This window comes from Homo sapiens, chromosome 6, assembly GCF_000001405.40.
Source record: "Homo sapiens chromosome 6, GRCh38.p14 Primary Assembly".
In the NCBI taxonomy this organism is placed as follows: Eukaryota; Metazoa; Chordata; class Mammalia; order Primates; family Hominidae; genus Homo; species Homo sapiens.
This window is the reverse complement of record NC_000006.12, coordinates 127,146,058-127,170,890: the sequence shown is the minus strand read 5'-3', so window position 1 is coordinate 127,170,890 and position 24,833 is coordinate 127,146,058. Positions and strand designations below refer to the sequence as shown.

At 35.4% G+C, this 24,833-nt stretch overlaps 1 protein-coding gene and 1 long non-coding RNA gene across 9 annotated transcripts in view; one reads left to right on the top strand and one right to left on the bottom strand.

The window, feature by feature from the left end:
- The window catches only part of LOC105377989 (uncharacterized), a 347,578-nt gene that overhangs the window by 41,954 nt on the left and 280,791 nt on the right, over positions 1-24,833 (top strand). The gene's annotated exons all lie outside the window — the stretch shown is intronic.
- RSPO3 (R-spondin 3) overlaps positions 1-24,833 on the bottom strand; it is an 80,811-nt gene that overhangs the window by 28,591 nt on the left and 27,387 nt on the right. For both annotated transcript variants that reach the window (NM_032784.5, XM_017011378.1), the window contains exons 2-4: positions 22,052-22,243; positions 20,319-20,465; positions 15,453-15,650 (exon numbers count right to left, since the gene is read on the bottom strand). In NM_032784.5, coding sequence (NP_116173.2) covers positions 15,453-15,650; positions 20,319-20,465; positions 22,052-22,243 — 537 coding nt within the window. The remainder of the gene's footprint in view (positions 1-15,452; positions 15,651-20,318; positions 20,466-22,051; positions 22,244-24,833) is intronic.

Below are 24,833 nucleotides of genomic sequence, written 5' to 3'. Positions count from 1 at the left end.
CTCACCATTTAGCCTTCCTTACCTCCTGGCAACTATCATTTTACTTTTTATTCTATTAACTTGCTACTTTAGGTACTTCATATAAGTAAAATCATATAGTATTTGCCATTTTGTAACTCTTTGAAGTTACTTAGTATAAAGTCTTTAAGGTTTATCTATGCTGTGGCGTGAGTTAGAATTTTCTTCCTTCTTAAAGACAATAATATCTCATTGTATGTATATATCACAATTTGTTTAATCTATTCATCCATCAATGAACACTGTAGTTGCTGCCACCCCAACTTTTAGCTATTGTAAATAATGCTGCTATGAACATGGGTGTAAAACTATCTCTTTGAGATTCTATTTTCAATTCATTTGGGTATACGCTCAAATGAAATTGCTGGATTATATGGTAATTATATATATATGTATAACTTTATATATATATGTATATTTGTGTGTGTGTGTGTGTGTATGTGTGGAACCACCATGCTGTTTTCATAGTGGCTGGCTGTACTATTTTACATTCCCATCAATAGTGCATGATAGTTCCAACTTTTCCCACATCTTTGCCAACAATAAGGCACATCTATTTTTTATCCATTGTATAAATTGGGCTCTACATGCAATTTCAACAGAGCAGAGGGTTCTGTTGCTAAAATCCATTTTAAAACAATTTTTTTCTACTCCAATTTTCTCATCTTGTAAGCATCTGTAGATAGCCAAGCAATCTATTACCAGGAGGAAAGCAAGACCCAGTCAAATGCCCACTAAAAGTCTCCTCTTCCTACTCCTACTTACATTTTTTTTTAAGCCTCAACTTTTTTGGCAGACCTTCTCAGAACACCTTTCTGAGGATAACTCTCTTAGTCTAATGCTCAAATCTGCTTTACAGAATACCTGGCCCCAAGCCACATCAGACAGTGAGAACAAAGTGCTAGAATAGCCATTTTATTGAAGGGAGACTGTTTTCCATTGCAGCAGGGGAGAGTGGCTCAAGTAGGTGGCTCCCCTTGCTGCTTAAAAATAAGACCCTAAGAAGTGATTAAAAAAAACAAAAGAAGCAAGTAAGCACAGTTAGTATGGTGATATATTATTAAATATGTGGATAGCTCCACAAATTGAATTAACACCGTCAACACAGTTCATGGTAAACAATACTTCACAAAATATTGTGTCCATAAAGCCTTATGATACAGTGGAAACTATAATGCACTGGGATTCACATTTCTTTTCTGTCATTACCAGCTTTGTGATAATGTCACTTCTGCAAAGTCACTTTAACTCTTTCGTGTTGTTTATTGCAAAAAAGAATGGTGAAGTATGCATCTCCAAGGTACTTTTTGACTTATTCTGATGTTTTATGTTTTGTTATTCCTACATAAGAGGAAGAAATCTAGAATTAGTTCTAACATAAGTCTTCTTAATTACATCAGCACAGGCAGAAGAGTTTAGGAGGGATATAGGACAAGATAGCTTATACATACCTATGATCATATGTACATGCAAATATATTTACCCTAGTGTGCCTAGCACTATGTCTGGCACACAACTGTCACCTATAATGTTTGTGAATGAATACCCACACATGTAAGATTGCAGTATCTAACAATTTTTATTAAAATCAGCATCTGAGAAGGAGAAGTTGTAATTACAAAAACAAAGCAAAATAAAACAAAAAACCAAACAGAAAAAAAAAACCCAGATGCTGGTGAGGTTGTGGAGAAAAAGAAACACTTCTACATGGTTGGTGGGAGGGTAAATTAGTTCAACCATTGTGGAAGTAAGTGTGGCGATTCCTCAAAGATCTAAAGGCAGAAATACCATTTGACCCAGCAATCCCATTACTGGGTAAATACACAAAGGAATATACATCATGCTACCTGACTTCAAACTATACTACAAGGCTACAGTAACCAAAACAGCATGGTCCTCGTACCAAAACAGAGATATAGACCAATGGAACAGAACAGAGCCCTCAGAAATAATACCACACATCTATAACCATCTGATCTTTGAAAAACCTGACAAAAACAAGAAATGGGGAAAGGATTCCCTATTTAATAAATGGTGCTGGGAAAACTGGCTAGCCATATGTAGAAAGCTGAAACTGGATCCCTTTCTTACACCTTATACAAAAATTAATTCAAGATGGATTAAAGACTTAAATGTCAGACCTAAAACCATAAAAACCCTAGAAGAAAACCTAGGCAATACCATTCAGGACATAGGCATGGGCAAGGACTTCATGTCTAAAACACCAAAAGCAATGGCAACAAACCCCAAAATTGACAAATGGGATCTAATTAAACTAAAGAGCTTCTGCACAGCAAAAGAAACTACCATCAGAGTGAATAACCTACAGAATGGGAGAAAATTTTTGCAATCTACCCATTTGAAAAAGGGCTAATATCCAGAATGTACAAAGAACATAAATAAATTTACAAGAAAAAGTCAAACAACCCCATCAAAAAGTGGGCAAAAGATATAACAGACACTTCTAAAAAGAAGACATTTATGCGCCAACAGACACATGAAAAAAATGCTCATCATCACTGGCCATCAGAGAAATGCAAATCAAAACCACAATGAGAAACCATCTCACACCAGTTAGAATGGTGATCATTAATAAGTCAGGAAACAACAGGTGCTGGAGAGGATGTGGAGAAATAGGAACACTTTTACACTGTTGGTGGGACTGTAAACTAGTTCAACCATTCTGGAAGACAGTGTGGCGATTCCTCAAGGATCTAGAACTAGAAATACCATTTGACCCAGCCATCCCATTACTGGGTATATACCCAAAGGATTATACATCATGCTGCTATAAAGACATATTCACATGTATGTTTATTGCAGCACTATTCACAATTGCAAAGACTTGGAACCAACCCAATAATGACAGACTGGATTAAGAAAATGTGGCACATATACACCATGGAATACTATGCAGCCATAAAAAAGGATGAGTTCATGTCCTTTGTAGGGACATGGATGAAGCTGGAAACCATCATTCTCAGCAAACTATCATGAGGACAAAAAACCAAACACCGCATGTTCTCACTCATAGGTGGGAATTGAACAATGAGAACACTTGGACACTGGAAGGGGAACATCACACACCGGGGCCTGTTGTGGGATGGGGGGATGGGGGAGGGATAGCATTAGGAGATAAACCTAATGTAAATGACGAGTTAATGGGTGCAGCACACCAACATGGCACATGTATACATATGTAACAAACCTGCATGTTGTGCACATGTACCCTAGAACTTAAAGTATAATAATAAAAAAAATCATTCTATTATAAAGCTACATGCATTCATATGTTCACTGCAGCACTAGTCACAATAGCATAGACATGGAATCAACCCAAATGGTGATCAATGATAGACTGGATTAAGAAAATGTGGCACATATACACCATGGAATATTATGCAGCCATAAAAGGGAATCGGATCATGTCCTTTACAGGGATATGAATGGATGTGGAAGCTGTTATCCTCAGCAAACTAACACAGGACCAGAAAACAAAACACTGCATGTTCTCACAAATGGGAGCTGAACGATGAGAACGCATGGACACACGAGGGAAAACAACACACACTGGTACCTGTTGGGGCCAGGGGAAGGGAGAGCATCAGGAAGAATAATTAATGGATGCTGGGCTTAATAGGTGATGGGACGATCTGTGCAGCAAACCACCATGGCACATGTTTACCTATGTAACAAACCTGCACATCCTGCACATGTACCCCGGAACTTAAAATAAAAGTTGAGGGAAAAAAATAAACTAATTCAAGTATATCAGTAATATAAAAAAAGAAAAGCAAAACACATTATAGTCAAGTTAATACTAGAATAAGAAAAATATTTGCTATGCACATGACAAAAGGTTAATCTCTAATATACAAATAATTCCTATTAAGTGGTGTTTTACTTAATAGAAAAATTAGAAAATTGGATAAAACATATAAATAGGCATCCTGTGGAAATTCAAATAGGCTCTAAACATGAGATTAGCCTTATTAATAGGAAAATGTCAATAAAACAATAGAATACCATTTGTCAATCAGATTGGCAAGAGTTTAAAGGACTAATAACATGCAGTTAGAGTCAGGATATGAGGAAACACGTAATTTTGATATATTCCACGTGTGAACTGAAACACCTTTTTGAAAAATAATCTGGCAGAATATATTAATATTTAAAATATTCACATCTTTGGTTTATCCATCAAATGTTTGAGACTACATTTAATATTAGATCTCACAATTATTGAGTGCTTACTCTGTGCCAGGCACAAGTCTGAAAGTTTTATACATACTCATAACTCCTCACTACAACTTTGTAATGTAGTTAGTGTTATCATCCCCATTGTACAGATGAGGAAAAATGGGATATGTAAAGGCTAAAGAATTTGCTTAAAGTCATAGCGATAGTTAAAAAGCACAACTGAAATTTGAAACCACATGGTTCCAAAGCCTGTGCTCTAAATTCTAAGATGCATCACCTCCTTTTCCTCTGATAGAAAGTCAATGTATCAATTCATTAACATGATAGAGATTTTTGTTACAGTAAGAAGAGCAAAAAAATGGGAAACAATTTTACAATCCATCAATAGCAGAATGGTTGAATACATTATGTGATATTCATAGCATGTAACATTTTGCAGCTATTAAAAAGATGAATTAGAAAGACGTCCATGATATGCAAATTTTAAAATGACACAAGTAAACATGCACACACTATTGAGCTACTAAGGTGCACAATTTATTCTTTTTCTGTAGACACAGAAAGAAAAGTCAAATGCTTTTTATAAAGAAAATAATATATTCATTCTCTATGGAAATTTTTTATATGTCTATTTCTATAAGCAGAAGATTAATGTGGAAGAATATACAACCCACTTTCACATTGCTTTTCTCAGAGGAAGGACTGGACTGAGGGAGAGTGAGATTATTAATTTTTTATTTATGTATCTTTTAGGCTTTTGTGTTTTTACAAGAGCATGCACATCATTATTGATATTAAAAATACAGCTTTTGTGTAAGCCAAACAAAGAAATGAATAAAACAAATAACAAATCTGTAGCTTAACTGAGATGGTTCTGGTTTTTAAACTATTTCAATACTTTCTTAGTTCACTAGGCTGACACTGCAAATATTAAATATTAGTTTTTGAAGATGATGAACATGAGAAGAAACAGTTATTCTATGAGCAGATAATTTTAATTCAAAATTGAAGAAATCTGCTGAGATGGAAGGAAAGGGTGACAAGGTAGGAGGAAGGGCATAAAAGGTATAAAACATGGTAGAAAGCCAAGGGACTGATGGAGAGAAGTTAAATTTAAAAACTCCCTTGTCTTATACATTTCAAGACCTTGACAAACTAGACAAATGTGAAGCCACTACAGGTTTGCCAATGAAATACTTTGGTAACTGTATCTTAGCTGTTGAGACAAACCAAATTTGAAATAAAACAAAATCCCTTCATGATTTTGCTGTTGGCTGGAAAACAGATAAGCAGCATAGCAGATGTTTACAATTGTACTTATTATTCTGAGAAATATTTTACTATCATATGTACATATTCCATAAGAAATAATTAGCCATCTAAATTGTATTCTACTAATTACATTATGAAAACCTAGGTTCTTATTTCTGTGAAGACAATAATTTTTGTTCATGAGTTATAATTAATTAGATATTAACTCTTGATCCTAAGTATGCACATATTTTCTATATCTTTTATTTTTGGAATTAGCAACTATTCATATTTTCTGCATGTGAATTTAGTATATTGATATTTCCTTACCTAAAATGTGCTATTACTCAAAAAAGTGAATAGTAAGTGGCATTGTGCTTTCAGATATTACATTTTATGTAACGCAAAAGTAAAAGGAATATCTCACTTACAGATGTACATGTTTTGCATTGAGATATAAAATGTAATTAAACTTTATTCAGAAACTCTTCCCTACATCTGTTTCTTTGCAAAAATAGGAAAAGCAAGCTCTTCCAGCAGAAAAAACAAGTAAACAAAACAACCATTTGCAAGGCATATTTCTCAATTATGGCAGCTGGGGCTCACAGAGGCTAGAGTTATGACCTGGTGGTGTATACACAATATAAACACCGCAGTTCAGTAATTAGGTTAGAGTTAATTTTAACGTTTCAGTGGCCTTGTGCATAATCAAGCAAAAGGTCATTGCCCACACTGGTGCATTTCACACAGAACCCTCAGCAGCTAGAAATGGACATGGACATGTCTTTACTTAAGCCTGCACAATTCAATTCCAGAAACCATTCATATGCATAGTAGATTATTTTTTCTATTCATTTAAAGCCAGTTTACTCCCAAAAAAAAAGTTTCTAGCAAATGCAGAGAAACTAGAAAAAAATAGTTAAAATATTCTTAGCATTATCCTGAACGTGTGTTTAGTCTGAAATAGACAGAAAAAACTTTGGTTACTCTTCCTCACTTAAAATTATTTTCAAAACCAGTATTGAAAAGGGATTATCTTGTAGAAAAACATACGTTTCTAGATTTGGTAAGTTTTGTTTCTTGTTTGGTGGGGAGAGATGGGAGATGATTTACATCTGTTGTGTTTTTGTCAGTACCCTTGTTTTCTAAACAGAGCCAGCAATCAAAATGGCTCACTTGACCCTGGCTTCAACTGCAGGCATTTTACTTACACAGACCAATCTCAGGACCCCAATTCCTCTGCCACAGTGATTCAAAGTAGGGTCCATTGGAATCCTTTCGTGAGATTGGATGCAGGGATACTGAAAGAGAGAGCGAGAGCACTATCCTTTTTTATTTGGAGCAATGTGGATATATAGACTTGGAGCTGCCCAGAGCCAGCTTTCCTCCTAAATGGAGAAAGACTCTGCAGCAGAGGAGAATAAGGCCGACAAACAATGAGGAATGAAGGCAGTGTGAGCTGAAATGGTGAGAAAGGGAGAGAGCAGAAGGCGATGCAGTGATATTGTGATAAAGTGATATTGTTTGAGGACTTAGTGCAGTCTGCGTTTAAGCCAATAATTTTCTTCTTGCCTAAGATAATTTGAGATCTGTCATTTTCAACTACAATGTCCTGCAGAATACAGAGGGCAGAACAGTGAGCTTGGTGAAAAAGGACTATCATTGAGAGATAACATGCTAATATATTATTTTGCTATTAAAGTAATAAGTATGTCGTAAATAATTTTTTAGAGAAACTGAAAAACAGAAAAATTTTAGGAAAGTATTTCTAATTTGGGACCTGAGAAATGGGATGTTTTAAATGAAAGGTAAGGAACTGAGTAGGAAATTAAATAGAAAGAGAAGGGCATGTAGAAGAGAGTGAGAACAAAGTGGATTAAGAGGTTTTGAAGAATTTTCATTTCTATACATTTTGTCATGCTAATAATAGCCTACTTACTCACACCTCTTGAGAGGCCCAAGGATAAGGCATCAACTCCTTTCTGCAGACTATGACATCTACAAAGTTAGTCTGTAATGCTTCTATGAAGAAGCTGCTGGAGGATATAAAAAGCAAGATAATTATCTATGGAAAGAATAATTCTTTGTGCCTTCAAATGTGGGGTGTCCCCTATGTCAAAGAGGTTTCGGCAACACTAGCAGTTTTAAGGAGTGACTGTATTAGGGAGATGGGAAGGAGAACAGGAGCATGAAAGGAGGGAGTGTCTTTTTGCTGGAGAAATATTTACTTTGCAATTAGCAAAGGACAAGAAGCTTCTTTTGGAAACTACATTTGGGGGTCCAGAATTTAAATTTATGCTGATGCTCTCGGAGTCTCTCTCTAGGGAACCCTCCTAATTGGCAGGGATCTCAGTTGGCTAGAACAGGCTGTAAAGGAAGCCAAGGTCTTGGGGTCATTTCTCCAAAGGGCCGGTTAACTCAGCATTGTTCCACAACCACAAGCTGTACCTTTAACCCTACTTAGCCGTCTTACAAAAACATATTAGCACATCAACATGGTGGTCACAGAAAAAATACATGTATTCACATTGAGACCAAAATGAAATGTAAGCAGAGAAGTTTCATTTTTGCCAGCATTAACAAATGTCTTTGTAATGTGTTAGGAAACTCTAATGAAGACAGCAGCTACTGGTGGTACAAATCACAAAGGTGAAAACTGTTAACAAAGGTGTATGCTTACAAAAGGGCTGATACTCTATGGTCATTACCTTGTGGACTGATATAAACCATTCGGAATATAAGATCTATGATGAAAAGAATTTTGTCTTTTTGGTGTACTGCTTTATCCTCAGCACCTAAGAGTGCCCAGCACATGGTGGAAGTTTAATAAATATTTGTTGAGCGTATGAAGGTATCTTGGCCTCAGATTTTATTTATTCTTCCTGTTCTGCCCTTTACAAATTAGAAAGTACAATAGAAATAATATCCAACACAACATCTCCTGTATCAATAGTTGACTGTTTTTACAAAGGAAGGAAGGAAATTTACAAAGGAAATACAAATCTCTTACTGTATTTCAGACAATAAGAGATTGTTAAGTGAATGAGGAATCACACTAATCTAACTACAAACAAGAGAAAGACCTCTAGGGTAGAATGCAAAAATGGCTATAATTCTCCTCTCCCACCCTGTATATGCATGCCACCTTGCAAAGTAAGTTTGCACCTTCTCCTGCCAAGAGATAAAATCTGTTTCTTCAACTCTTGAATCAGGACTAGGCTTATGACTAGTATAGGCTGACAGAATGTGGTGGAAGTAAAAACTATGCCAGGTTCTGAGCCTAGCCTCAAGAGGAATGACTTCACCTTTTCTACTTTGGAAGGCTGTAGGACCTCTTGCCATCTTGATGATAATAGAAACATGGCAATTTCCTCATTCTCCAGCCATCCAACAATGTGACAGAGCCCAGCCAAGATCAAAATTGCCCAGTAGGTCTCAGCCTTAATTGCCCAGCCACAAATTGTTAAGTAAGTGGTTGTTGTTTTAAGCCTTTATGTTTTGAGGTTATTTGTTATGCAGCAAAAGCTAACTGAAACAATCCTCGTGCACCAGACCTAAACAATGGCAAGATCATTGTTTGCTTAGGAGCTGAAGAATGCTACCACTCTATTCAATAACCTGATCACTGTGTATTATGTCACACTCACCAATGGGTCACAAAGCACTAAATATTTATAAATATCACTAAGTGAAATCTCAGAGAATATAGGCATTTTCAAGGGTCATTTATTACAAAGTTTATTTTAGAATAGGAATGCTGAGGTACACACCAATTAGCAGAAAAGCCTACAAATAATTCTTATACTATCATAGGAATGAAGGGATTGCATGGATGATAATAACAATTAAGTATTTCCCACTGTGAATAATGTCCACCATGATTTTCGACCACCGTTAATAAAATCCCCAAAATCTCAGAGAGCCTACAAAAATGGTATGGAGCAAACTTGGTCTGAATTGTAAGAGGTAGTAACTGCTGGCTGAGTTCTAAAAAATGATATAATATCAAGGAATGCAAGGCATGAAATAAAGTCTTATTTTCTGCAGAGCTTTTTCTTTAATATTGAGAAGTTTAAGAACATACAATAGGATGTAAAATGTGTTAGAGGCAAGAAACTTAAAAACTGTCATTTCATTTTTTTTTCTATATCTATCAAGGTGCTGGCTGTAATTCTGCTGCTTCATTATGACACAGGGGAGTCAATTGTGCATGTCTTCAACCCAAAAACCTAGGCAACAAAGAATCCTCACATAGATCCTGCTATTATAATGTCAATGCCAGAGGAAACAATAAGAGGTGGGGCCTATCACTGAGGCATTAAATGTTTTCACCTACATGGATAATAAATTCTGATACTTGTCCACTGAATTTACAAGGTGATTTGATGTTTCAGTGATTAAATTGGAGGTGGTGGGAAAGAAAAAAAAAAGGAATAAGGGTTGAGTAATATAGCTAAGGAGAAAAAAATATCAAATAAAAACAGAGAATAAGTCATATGTGACCATGATTAAAGAGCATCTGAAGACCAAACATGTTTTTATGAGAGACTTTAAAGATGAGTAGTGAGGTAGGAGGTAGGGCTTGACTCACAAAGTGAGACTTGACTCTGGAGGCAGGGTTCAGACACCAGACCAAATTGAGGACTAATTAAAACAGGCATGGAGTGGAAGCACCTTTCTAAAAGACACACCCACCAATGTGCCATGTCAGTTTGCCATTGCCATGGCAACACCCAGAAGTTACCACCCCTTTCCATAGCAACAACCCAATGACGTAGAAGTTACCACCCTTCTCCTAGAAATTTCTGCATAATGTGCCCCTTAATTTGCATCTAATTAAAAGTGGGTATAAATGTGACTGCAGAACTTCCTCTGAGATGGTACTCAGGGCACAATGCCTATGGGGTATCCCTGCTCCATAAGGAGCAGTACCTCTGCTGCTGCTGTACACTGCTGCTTCAATAAAAGTTGCTGTTGAACACCACTGGCTTACCCTTGAATTCTTTTCTGGGCTAAGCCAAGAACCCTCCCAGCCTAAGCCCCACTTTTCAGGGTCCTCTTCACTGCATTGGTAGTGCCTACATTCTTTCAAGGACAGCTGTACAGTTTACTATTATTAAAAGCTTAATATTTAAAACAGATTGTAGTATATACAAATTGTAAACTGTCAATCCATAAGAAACATACTGTAGGTCTGGTTCTAAAACTTGATCAGTTTAGAGAGATGAAATTTTAAAGTATCAGGTTGAACCATATGAAACTGCTTACATTTGACCATTTACGACCTACAAAAAAGGCGGTTGCAAACAGTTCAACTGAATAGATAGGAGAGTATTATGAAAAAGAAATGATTATAGCCATATAATTAATTTTAGTGGAGGGAAAGCTAAATAGTGATTCAGCAACTGGAAGTCCTGTCCACTGAGGACATTAAATTGAAAACGTGGCTTAGCCTTTAAGAGAGAATACATTCAGCCAGGCATGGTGGCTCATGCCTGTAATCCCAGCACTTCGGGAGGCTGAGGCAGTTGGATTGCCTGAGCTCAGGAGTTCGAGACCAGCCTGGCCAACACAGTGAAACCCCGTGTCTACTAAAATACAAAAAATTAGCCAGGTGTGGCAGCGTGTGCCTGTAATCCCAGCTACTCAGGAGACTGAGACAGGAGAATCGCTTGAACTCAGGAGGCAGAGGTTGCAGTGAGCCGAGATCGCGCCACTGCACTCCAGCCTGGGCGACAGAGTGAGACCCCATCTCAAAAAAAAAAAAAAAAAAAAAAGGAGAATGTATGTAATGCCTTTATATAATGCCTGGTAGACTTTTACTATACTTAATTTTGAGAAAGTACATAAGGCAACCTACAGTATACTCAAATAGTACAGTAATACAATGATTCCCACATTTGTTTCTTCCCTGGAGTGTCCCTAAACATTTTATTTCTTTCTATTTTAAAGGGTTCCTTTTATATTTCTCTGGTGGAATGAATGCTAGCTTGTCTTTATACCAGGAAGATAGACCTCCACCTCACTTCTTCCAGCAACATGCTCTGCTCTTCTCTCTCCTTTCTATCCCAAGATCATACACTATCTGTGATTAATAAGAATCTTTTTTGTAAAACTAACCAAAGAACAAAATTTCTTTTATTCTTGGTGAGTTGCCTTAAAAACCATCTATAGGAAATTCTCTTTAGTTAATTAGAGGAAGGTACAAATGAATGAAAAATGTGTTTGTTGACTCTGCTTCCACCACCACATACACAAATATACCCTTTTGCATCAAATGCAGGTGCACACACATCTTCCTGAGCTGTTTCAGTTTTCCTTATCTGAGATGGTTATACACTGTATGTCAAAAAAGTCAATAAATAAAACCTGGCAACCACTGGAAATGCATTTTCTCCTTGTTTACTTCTACTTAAATATGATGTTTCAATACACATGTGATAATAGTTTATATATTAGTCTGTATAATCTCTTAAAATCTATATTTTTGATATTTCAAATATATAATTCAATTAAGTTCAAGCTAGAAAGAATTGTATTGGTAATGACCTCTTACTAAAGTTAGTAATTGATGGAGAAGTTCAGGCTGATTAAAAGGTAGCATGTCAAGTAAAGGGGAATAATCTGAAATACTGTAAACAAATACATGAGATAATTTAAATGTAAGGATACAACAATTAAATTTATCTCCTTGGGTTAACTTATTCTAACCATGAGAAAATGGTAGTAAAGAAAAATGTGTGTGTGTAAGATTTTGTAACATATACATATTAAAAAGCATCTCCCAACTAGATGAATCCACTCTGTTCCTACAAACTATTTTCTTCTATTCAACTTCTTCTTTGTGTACATTTTGAAAAGTCATTTCTGGATCTTATCATTCTTCCCTGGAGATCTTGCCTTTGGCAATTTCAACAGAGCAGAAAAAATCCTGAACACATGCTCCCTACCTTTTCCAAATATGAGTTATCTACCTCTGTCTATTGTTAACCTCTTAGGCAGGGATCATAGACCTAACTTTAAATTCATAAGAAAAGCCTTATCTTTTAGTACACTCATCTTGAAATGCTCAAGCTGTGAACCTAAAGGAATCTTCTTATTTTATTAATCCATAAACATCTGGGAGCAACTCAAATAATAGCTATCCTAAGTGTGAGGGGAAGTCATGTCTGTACCACTTTATTGTGTTTATCTTTAAAGTTGATTAAATGTTTCTAATGCTTACCCTACTTAAAATAAGAAATGCCAACTTTTATAGAAAAATATAAAGATAAAGTCCTCTACTAAATTTGCTCTGTTGATATGCTTCTCTATATGTGTATGTGGGGTTCTTATCATTTAGGTTATAAATTCAAGACAATGAGTAATTTTCAAGATATTTTTATTATATATTATACATATTATATAAATATACAGTAGAGCCTAAATGAAGACTCTGGATGTTATTATTTTGATATGATGCTTGATAGAGAGGATACGGTGGGATGTCCAGAGGTCACTATTACTTTTCTATTTGGTTTGTGTTCAAATAGGATACTTGCTAACTAAACCTTAAGAGAAGTTAAGAAAACTGGAGGATTAGAGAAATAACAAAGAGAGAAATGATTTTCTTCCTACCTGTAGTTTATAGGCTACTTAAGAAAAGTTTTTGACAAACACCTTGAAAAATAAATGAAAAAAAATAAAAGTAGGACTAAATCTGGAAATTAATTGTAAATGTGATTCATATTTGCCACTTGTTAGTCTACATTTTATGAAATTTGAAAAAATAAAACACCTACATTTTCTAGTTGTATAAACTTCTCTTTGTAAATGTAAAATGTCACTGTATCCTCAGAGGGGAAGAAAACAAATCAGAAAGACACTTTTAAGCTAAATCTTATGTCACAGGTTACTATTTCAAACTTCTTGTGATGTTGTTTATTTTATCTCTTTCTAGATGAGATAAATGCCAGTTTTAACAGTTGACATTTTCAATGTTTAAGTCAAGTGCTACCAAAATATAATCTATTGAAAGATCACATTCTCAAGTAAAAGAAATAAAATGTAATTAGAATCGTGATTTAATTCTGCTATTGGATAACTTTTCTTCATTTATATTTTAAAAGGAATGTGTACTGAATACTGATTAATAACGTACAATCTTTGTGAAAAGAATGATATGAGCAAAGACCACCTGTAAGTCATTAAATTTTAAGGAAATTTAGTAAACATAAGTAAATGTACGGCAACAGGAGCATACCAACAAGTAGAGTGATGAAATATTTGACTTCCAAATCCAACTTTTAAAATCTAAGATGTTTTAAATTAATTGGTAACAAATGCCAAAAGGCCTTTTTCACTAGCCAGCTTTCATTCCTTAAACTAAGTTTTAATCAAAACCTCCTACAAATTTACAAAAGTTTGAAGTTCTCTTTAAATAACCCATGTCTTCAAGAATTTTTTCACATTAACTACTTGATTAGAATGGCAGAAACAGGTTTTATAGCTTTTAGTGATGGCCAATTCTTTTGGCATAATGGATGTTTCTTTGCAAAGTACAGGTGACCCAAATTCTCTTTTGTATAAGCAATGTTCAAGTTTGCAGTGTCCTCTTCTGTGTTCCCTTTAAACTAGTTCACACATCTATAATCTCCCTTATTCTACGATGTTGTGATTATCTGTTTAAACATCTCAACCTTTCACTGGACTCTGGTGTACCTTCACAATAGAGAGACAGTACCCCATTCAGTTGTGAATCCTTAGGCCCTAGTACAGTGCATAGCCATAAAGTAAGAATATAATAAAACTATGTTGAATGAATAAATGAATGAAATAAGCTAGTAAATGAATGAAATAACCTAATAAAGGTCAACTATGGAGAAATAAGAAAGGTCAACTACAGAGGCAATCAAACTCCTTTGGAATTAATTGAGAAGATCATTTATAGACTCACCAGATAACTACCAATAGTTACATAAAACTACACAACATATTTGTAGGAAGTGGTGCTGAATACATTAGTGAGAAAGATAGAAAAATGATATTTTAAAGATCGGCAACTGAGGGTCTTCTGGCTGGAAGTTTATTCACCCTAAAGGATCATATTATTAAATGCTATATTTCTCCTTGTTGATTTCACAGCAAATTCTAATAGTTAATATTGATGGAATAGGTTCTGTAATCTGGTCTATAAAGACCAGAATATGAAAAGAAATCAATATGAAAAGATATCTGGAGACAGATATGAAAAGAAATATGAAAAGAAATATGCAATATGAAAAGAAATCTGGAGACAAATGTCGTTAATGATTTTGCTATATTCATAAAATGTGGTCTTGGTCATTTCAAAATAAAGTCAGTATTAACTATACTGGCCAGGTATGGCGGCTCACGCTTGTAATCCCAGCATTTTGGGAGGCTGAGGTGGGATGATTGCTTGAGCCTGGGAGTTTGAGGTTGCAGTGAACTGCGATGGCACCACTACAATACAGCCTGGATGACAGAATGATATTCTGTCTTTAATTTTATATATATGTGTGTGTGTGTGTATATATATATATATACACTTAGCTACAAAAGCTTACCACTACATTTCACTACTTTGGTTTGCAGGCAGTGAGGAAAGGAATGTTTGATGGCGGTGTTTCTTTGTCTTGTTCTTGTAAATATCATTAGACTTTGTAATTATGAGACTTCCCAAAAGTTTTCTAAGTACTAGCAAAGCAGATTATAGTACAGATAATGCCCTGAATGCTTACAATACAGCCTAGTTCATCATAATTCAATTAGCACACTTCTATAGTAAAGTTCTGACATCAGGCTCCATATTTTGGAATTACCACATCTATATTCTGTAATTTACAAGCAGCATATTCTTGCTTGGTACACATTTTAGGATATTAGGCATGAAAGATAATGCCAAGTGTTTCATAAGAAATAAAATGAAAAATGCAACAGATTATGAGGATTCAAACAAGCACATTTTGTTATTATGATTGTACCTCGTTCTCCCTTCTGACACTTCTTCCTTTGCACTGTACACTTTCTTGTCTCATTTGTTGGGGGACACAGGTTACCCTTTGCTGAAGGATGCTGTATTATTTCTCGGACCCGTGTTTCAGTCCCTCTTTTGAAGCCACATGTTTTTCCCTTCTTCGTGCATGGACTCCAAGGATTCCATTCACTGACCTCACAGTGCACTGAAACAGAACAGAAGAAACAGACTCAGCTGGCTTACAACCACTTTCACTATTGTTGAGTTAAAAAAAGATTTGCTTCCATCAGAACTTGCCCACATTTGAGAAGAATCTTGCAGATCAAAGTCGGGCAAGATGACTTAAATATAAAACAGGAGAATGGGAAAGGCAGAAATTGAATGTTTTCAGTTTAGTACTCATTATCAGGTAAACTCATTTTTGCATTGGATTTCCTTTTTCTCTAGATTGATTAACACAGGCACTAACATTAATATAATCACTAAAATTGATCAATTCTTTATAATTTCCAGAGCACTGCTGCAATTGTTGATTGATCCTGACCAGAATTTGAAGAACAGTTGTTATACTATGTGCTAGAGAATTGATTCTCAAACTTTAGCATGCATCAGAATCACTTGGAGGGCTTGCTAAAACAAAAAATTCTGGACCTTTCTCCATTAGCCCCCACCAGAGTTTCTGATTCAGTTATCTGGGGCAGGGCTGTGAATTTGCCTAACAATACAGGTAATGCTGATTTGCAGGTACTGGGAACTCCTTTTGAGAACCTCTGTGTTAGAGAATGCTTGAGCAGAAAATGAATCCAGGTCTTTGGCCTACTATTTACTGCCTTTGCTTACGACATGTGCTGTTGTACGCTTAAATATTGATATCTGTTACTGAGTATGGTTCAGGCATAGCGGCATCTATTATATGTGAATTCTGGGTCAATTTCAGCTGATAACCTGCTTCTAAAATTAACCTGACCAAGTGATTCCTAAGATGACCTGATGTACTTTTTCTGAAGCTTCTTTTGGAGATTTGTTTCCTTTTTCTGTATTAGTTTCTTTTTTTCAATAACGGCTTTCTCAGGTTGTAACAGATTTTTGAACTTCTAAAGAAAAGAAACATCTCAAGGTGCTATTATATTTATGTCCCTAAAACTTTCTAATGTATAACAACAGCTAGCAACAGTAACTCTTTCAGATGATTTAAGACTATCTTTCCACAAAAAGAAGTTTCCAGTAACCTCCCTTATTGCCTTCTGATTTAATGATTCCTTACTTTAGAGCAGAATGCTATCTCATAACAGCAGAGGCTGAAAGATAACTTAAATGTTTTAGAAATTTAAATCCATTTATTATACATTTTTCACAGGACTTTTCAGACACTTTCAGGTCCCTGAGTGCAACACGGAATTAAATGGAATTGATTAAATACATGACTTTATGTTTCTGTGAAATGAAATGAACTTTATTGAACCATTTTAAAATAGTCTTCATGCTCAGTTATACCACTACAATTTTCATTCAAGAATAGAGTAACTAAGTCAATTAATAATATTATAATCTCTTGCTGGTTATGGATATTATCTTCCAGCATCCCATTCTGATATTAATCATTAAAAAGTAGTGTATCCTTAGGATTACAAAAAAAGGCACCTCCAAAAAAGCAAATGAGAAGAGGAAAGTCTATGTTTGTGAGCTGTCACTTTGTCCAGTATTCATTTAATTCCAGAATTAAGAGGACTGAATTAGAAAAAATGATCTGATGTGCAAGTGACCAGAACTTCGGTGCTCTTTCATAATAGCAAAAGTGGTCTAAGCAAATGTACACTTGGACATTAGAAAAACGTATTTAAAAAATTACAGCTTAGGTAATTATTAGTTTATAGTCAGAAGATGAAAGGTTTTATAAATTAAATTCTACGGACAACCTTAGATAGTTTCATTGGAGGAGGGAAAATATTCAAAACTAATGAGTTTAGGTAGTAAAAAGTTCTAATGAGACCAGAGAGTTAAAACACCATGAAATGAGGTGAATTTATCTTAGAGAAACACTGTAGAATAAACCTATAATGTTAGCATCCAAATAATATTTCCACTAAAAAAAATGAAAACTGAAAAAAAAAAGTGCTAAAGACAACACAAAGGTGATTTAGGTTCTATTCAGATCATTTAATGAACAATGTAGAATTGAGGCACTCCTTGGTTAAGAGATAGTTAAGGAAAAACAGAATATTCACCTTCTGTGTTCCTCCTAGCTTCTGTATTAAGAACCATCTTAAAACTGGAAATCTTTAGCTATTCACTAATGAAGCAAATGAAGCACATGTCTCATAAAGGTAATGAGCTCCGGTCCCTGGGAATGATTGTGCTGTGGTTGATCATCAGTGCAAGATGCTGTAAAAGGGATTCCCGAATTGGCAAGAAAGTTGAATAGGATGTCCTATTAGTAGTGACTTTACTGGTCATTTTGCTCTAATTCTTGTTGACTAGTTGCATGGTTCCATAGAGAACATAGCAAGGGAATGTCCCTTGCTACTCAGTCCTTGAAGTGAGATATATTCTCTCTGTGTTTCTTGAACAAATCCAACTAAGAGAAGCAGTGAGGGTGACAAAATGACAGTGCAGAAAGGAAGCAAATATCTGGAGCACAAAGTGAAAAGAATATGTTCTCTTATAAAATTTGGTTCAGTGGATGTTTCTGTTTCATTTCACCTGCAAACCATGGAAAGCAGATACACTGTGACATACCTCTTTCATCCCAGCTCTATATCAGGGTAGCATTTCCTCTGTTTATGACCTTTCCTCTCAATTTAAAATCTCGATAGAAAAGTAGAAATACGGTGTGGATTTTAGCAATGAGAAAGACACATTCTTTCTATTGGATGAGTAGTGGGAAGCTAAAGTCAGGCTACTAATTACAGCACTGAAAATAACTTAAAATGTTTCTTTGGGATCACCATTTTGGCTCTCCGGATCCTAGTTTTCATATTTGTTAAAGGAACAGGCTTTAATATTCCTTTGTGATATAGAAGCAGGTCATCATCTTCCCTGAAATTCTGGACTGGCCTAAAGGCATGGCAGGTGTAGTACCTGCAGGCTAGGCGCCATATGATGGGAGACATCTCTTATTGAGCAAACAACCGGAGCCAGCCCTGAATGAAAGTTGGTGATTTGTGTTACTACAGTGTCCTAGGTCATTTGCATCTGTTAAATGAACCAAACTCAGTAATTGGCCTTTGGACTGCTAACCTCTTTTCCAAAATATATAAACTTAAATGTAGTTGTGTTAAGAAATAAATAGTCTTAGTCTTACTAGCAGCATAAATTACCAGTAAGCTTTAAAGGCAAATCCAATAGTGCCAAGTGTGAAATGATCTCCCTGACAGAAAAGCATTAATACATTTAAGGTAAATAGCCTTTCCAGGACTGAATGTTACACCTTCAACAACTGAAAAAATCTAAATATGTGCCTTTTTTCTGGGTAGAGAAATGTCACAAACATTCTGCAACTCATCCTGAATTTCTGCTCTTGAATATTCCACAGACGTGTTTTCTATTTTTTCCAGTGTTTGGAACTTATTACCTCTAATCATCAGCCCTCAGGACCTATAAGAAAAAGAACTTGAAGTGCTTTCTTTTGTACTTTTTACCCTATTCCTAAGTTGCTTTTTTTTCCATGTGTTTTTACAACTAGAGAAGAAAAACTTAACCAAAATGAGCCACGAACTGTTTCAAGACTGTTGTTTTCCAGATGCTTCTAAAATTATCTTTAAAATATCTATTTATTTTATTCTATCAAGAACATTGTTTAGAAATAAAAGTGCTACGGTACACTTGAAATGGTTAAACCATCACTTTAGAGTTATTACTCCAGCCCTTTAGATTCTAAGGGACCCCTAAGATGGGGACTCCAGGGGAGTCCTGGAGACTATCTTGTACTGAATCAGGAGGGCAGTTGTGTGGATATGCCAACATCACCGCAGCATCAAAGGTTCCTGTAGTTCTTGCCCAGGGGATTTTGAGATTTCCTAGGCTATTTTACCATTTGGTTCAGCATCTGCTTCCCAAGTGTTCATCAAAGTTGTAGCTGTAGTAGCTGCACAACGTTTAAAAGATTGAAAATACAGCCTGACAGTGATCTGTTACTTAGACAAACAACTTGTCTGAGGGACCTCCCCTTCAGGAAATTTGGCCTGCAATTAATCAGCCCCAGGGACTGTCTCAATCTGTCAGTTTGAGTAAGTCCACAATCCTTTTTATTATGTATCAATACCTGTGCAAGCAGAATACTTCAGCATAGCAGTATGAGAGAAAAAGAGTGAGATTTTAACTAAATCAATTCCAGTTCTCTAGGTCTTTGATCCATTTACTGAGCATTAATGGGCTGTGTCAAGAGAATATATGTTCCCACCTTGGAAAATAACTTTGGTCATTAGTTGAGATTAGACCTAGGTGTTTTATGAAACTGTTGCTCTAAGGTAAAAATTAAGTTCAAGACATATATGTATGTCACATAACAGATCACTGTCAGATATACATATGTGTGTCTTGGCTGAATGTTTACTTAAATAAAATTCATTAAATAATTAAATAAAAATTCACTAAATAATAAAAATAAATCTATCATAAACAGAATGGTTGAAACGATTATCAATAGTCCCTAAGAAATAAGGAAGCACCTACTGTATTAAATTGTACCATAATACATACTAGATAAGGTTATGAAAAACACCTTTAAGAGAGTATCTTTGTAAAGAAGGATGGAGACAGCCTTTAAGAGATCTCAGCCCAAGAACCTTCAAGTTCTTTTGGCAAAGGACTTTGAAAAGCACCTCCATGGAGACTGACATTATCACTTACTCAAATTATTACAGGTTCTCCTTACCAATACTGACACACTCCATAGTATGGTTGTTGGCTTCCAACCCTTCTGGGCAATTGTCAAGGCACTTTCCAAGGTGTAAGTAAAATCCACTTTTACATTTTGTGCAGAAATTTTTGTTGAAACAGGTATCACAGTCAGCTTTGCATTCTGAAAGAGAAAAAAGAAAGAAATATGCTTGCATTATGTTCTCTTAACTATTGGTCCAGTTCTACATGTGTCAGACACAGCCACACACAACTTTAGTATCAAATAAACACCTGAAGTCCAAAATTATTTTGCCAGACTGAATTCACGATTCCTCCACAGTGATTTAGTTGAGGTACATTGGTTATTGATTTTAAAATCATTGTACTGATTGCCCTATGAAAAAATCTTTGTGTGTGTGTATATATATATATATATATATCTCCAAGAATATTTATAAGATGAAGTATCTGTTTATATTAAGTGATAGTGAAAATGTTTCATCAGAACCTTAAGAAAACATACAAAGGATATTATCTTTGTGTTGTTCTTGAGGGCTATTGATTCTTACAACAAATATTTGATTGCCTACTATGTGCCAGGCATTGTTTTTTATATTGGTTGACAGCAATGCACAAGAGGGGTAAGAGTCAGGCTTCAGAAAGTTTACATCCTAGGAGAGGAGATACAGTAAACAATAACAATAGTTCACCCTTATGTGGTGATTACTGTAAGCCAGGATTGCTATAATGCTTTACAATATTATTAAGTTATTTAAAGTTTACAACAATCCAATGAGGTAGTCATTGGTATAATTTCATTTTACATATAAGGAAACTGAGGCTCACAAAAGTTATAAAACTAACCCAGGACAACAGATCAGACTGCTTTTTGAAACCAGGCAGTCTAGTTCCAGAGTGATAAGTGCTCTGGAAAACAAAACAAAAAAACAACAGCAAATGGTGGGAAAAAGAGATGGAGGGTGGTTGACAAGGGGAACAGGCTGATTATTTTGGATAGGATGATCATGGAATGTCTCTCTGAGAAGGTGACATATGAGCAAAATCATCAATGATATAAGACAGCCAGCTATGCAAAGATGTGGACAAAAAGCTTTCCAACTGCTAGAACAGCCAGTGTAGAACACAATTGCAAAGGCTTGAGGTGGGAAGATCTTATGAGAAGGGAAGTGAGGCTGGTGCAAAATGGGTGAGGGGGAGTTGTAGGAGATGAGTTTGGAGGAACTACATATGGTATTTGAATAGAGTGGTATTTCCTAATTTACATTTTTGAGAAAGGTCCCTGGGTCTGCAGTGTGAAAAACAGGTTTTCAGGTTCCAGATGACAGTACTCCCAATATTTATTTCCAATTGATAAATAAATGTTTCAGTTGCTCTGGAATCTCTCTTGAAGTCAAAATAGCTGAAATGATTTGGCAAGTTAGTCAATACTTGGATTTTGTGTTGATAATGGAAACTCAGATGGAATTGAGGCTTGCAGTACTTTTCTATAGGTTCAATGAGCAATAATCATATTCCCAGCCTTTGCTTTCATAATTAAAAAGAAAACCAAAACATGAGTGCTTTTTTGTAAGTTAGTGATAAAAATTTTCTGGTTCTGAGGGTTAAGTCCAAGTATGGTTTAGCCTAATTATCAGATAAACATTATCATTTACTTAACATTGAATATCACAAATATATTAGAGGCCATTTCAATCTGGAAAAGTCACCAAAGATGAGATAAAAATACAATTTCGTGTGGGCACTTACTTGTACACTTATTTATATCTGGATATCGAGTTCCATAATATCCACTTGGACATGAAGAGAGACATACTCCAATCTGCTTCATGCCAATTCTTTCCAGAGCAAAAAATAGTCTGGGCTTACATGACAAACATCCATTGTAATCTGAGCATGTTGCACAGCCTCCTTGGCAGCCTTGACTAACGTTAGGATGCACTGTGGAGACAAATGTAGAAAGACATTACAAAGGTTAAATCACAGATAAAAAAATGACATTTTCTGGGCAGGATATATGTTCTCTTTCATTAGCTTTCAATTTGTTGGTAATGGGTGAATGAGGTGGGATTTTTTTTCCTATCTTTTTTTATGATCTTTTATTTCCCTTTAGCACATGTATTGTTTTTAATTTCAAAGTTCTTAAAATTGAGCATTTGAAAAATAAAGAATATACTGCCTCAAAGGACTTATATATGTGTGTGTATACATAGTCTCTTTATCATATAATATATATTTTTAAATTATGTATAACTAATTATATATATTCTCTTCATATATATAATATCCTCACTGAACTAGCACCCTGGGAGATTGGGGACTGGTAATTTTGTGCTCATTTACACAGTGAAATTAATACACATTTGCTTTGCTTTTCATTTATGTAATGGAGGATAAGCATATGTTTCTAATTTCTTCAGTAAGTAAAATAATGTACATTAGGGCTTAACTTGAGTAAGGACACTAAGTTTTATATCTGTTTTGAACTATGGTGTATTAGAGAACACAATTTTACTTTTTGATCCAATGCAAACTGATGCTGAAGCTATGTTAGCTGTTGAGCTCCCCAGAATTCCTTCATTAAATATTTCTTCTCACACGAGCTTAATAATTGCCAGTTCAAATAGATATAATGGTGAAAATGTGATGCTTATCTCACCAGTGTTTCCATGTGGATCATATATGACTACTTATGGTAATTTATGTTCAATATTTTCTCTTTTGGAACTGGAGTCTTACAGTTTCTGTGCCCTTATCTTCTACTTACTCGAGTGAAATGTATATTTGGTGAGAATGGACCAGTCTACCTTAAGAATCACTGTTACACATATTCCAGGGTTTCCAAGAGTTACCAGTGTGTGAGTTAAGAGTGTTCATTAGCAAGTCTGAACAAACAGAAATGAATATTTGGGAGACTCATGTTTGCTTAAGATCATCACAACTTTAAATCTTCTTTTGACTATTAAATAGTCATCATCACCTCTGCATGAGCTGGTAAAAACTACTGACTAACGGATGTTTCTCATATAGCTGGTGTTTAGGATGATTTCTTTTCCTAATGTGTTCTCCACTCAAATATATTGCTAATAGCTTTATTGTCCTTTGAAGATGCCAGAAGAAAAAAAAACCATAATCCTTAGAGAAAGAAAGATTGATGCACAGGAATCTAAAGGCATCCCAGTGTATTTCTGGCTTCTCTTGTTGGTAGTAGAAGGAGTAGGCTCTGATGGACCTTAACATTATTAAATCTGTCTTTACAGTGACGTTTGGTTATTACTAAGTTCTTTACCACAAAAACAAATCCCTCCAAGCTTAGTTAGAAGAGGTACCTATAAGACCAAACAGCCTTACCACAGGGGTGCACGGGTTAGTTACAGAGAGGTCATTCGGTTGACCAGCATCCTCTGCCTGTAGGAAACCATCCCTGAATCAGCCACAGGAACCACAAGCAGCTCATTCTCATTCCAAGACGTTTTGTAAATAAACTAAGGAAATGTGTGGGGGAAGGGAAGTCTGCTTTTCCTGTGCATGCTCCTCTGTGGGGGCGGGGTAGTCACATAAAGTGGCACAGGAGGTTTAGACATTACAGGGCCTGGGGGACTTGTAAGTGAAACTACTTTCCAAGTAACAGGGTCATTTTTCATGCCAGTAACTCAGCATTGGTGACTTACAGAAAACGTGTACATATTGTAAGCTTGCAAAGATCCTAAAAAGTAAAAGGGGCAAGAGATTTCCATGTGTTTGGAATCTATCATTATCCATTTCAAGAAGCGAGAGGTGTAGATAAAAACTTGTAAGACCTTTTCATAGAATTGTCTATAGAAGAGTGGACCTCAACTTGAAAGAAAAGTGCTTCAAACTCAGGGCACTAAGAGACTCTGGGTTTAAGAAAGATGGACCATATTGGTCCATGCCAATCCATCCCTATCTCTGAAATGTGGCTGCTGAAAGAAAACACAAAATTCTAATTTTATGTATTCTGAAACTTTTGCCAATTATGATATAATTTTAAATATATCAATTATTAATATAAACATGATTTACATATTCAGAGCTTCAAAAACTGACATTCCTTAAGATAAATTTTATTTTAAAAACTAGGTTTTGAATGTTTGGAATGTTCTTCAGGAGAGAGCTTTGAATAAGTCTCATGATTGTAACTGTATCCACTGAAATTATGAGATGTGCCAAAATACCTTGCTTGATTCCCTCTGTCTCTAAAACTTTTACTGATGAAATGGAGCACAGTCAACATTGTGCTACAATAATTCTTTTTACCTTTTTTTTTTCATATAATGACTTCCTAGGCAAGGGTTTTTAAAAATTTGATTTTTGAAAAAGCAAGAAAGACCTAGTTGTCCCAACTTGCAATAAAATTTTATGTTTTAATCAGTGAATTTTGAATATGGCAATGAATTTTGAATATCAAATGATGGCAAACCTTATTTCTTCAGGAAGGTTTAAATGCTGGCTGTGGGAAGAGAGAGAAATGAAGACTATGAAGCTCAGATTCAATGAGTCTAGATTTTTT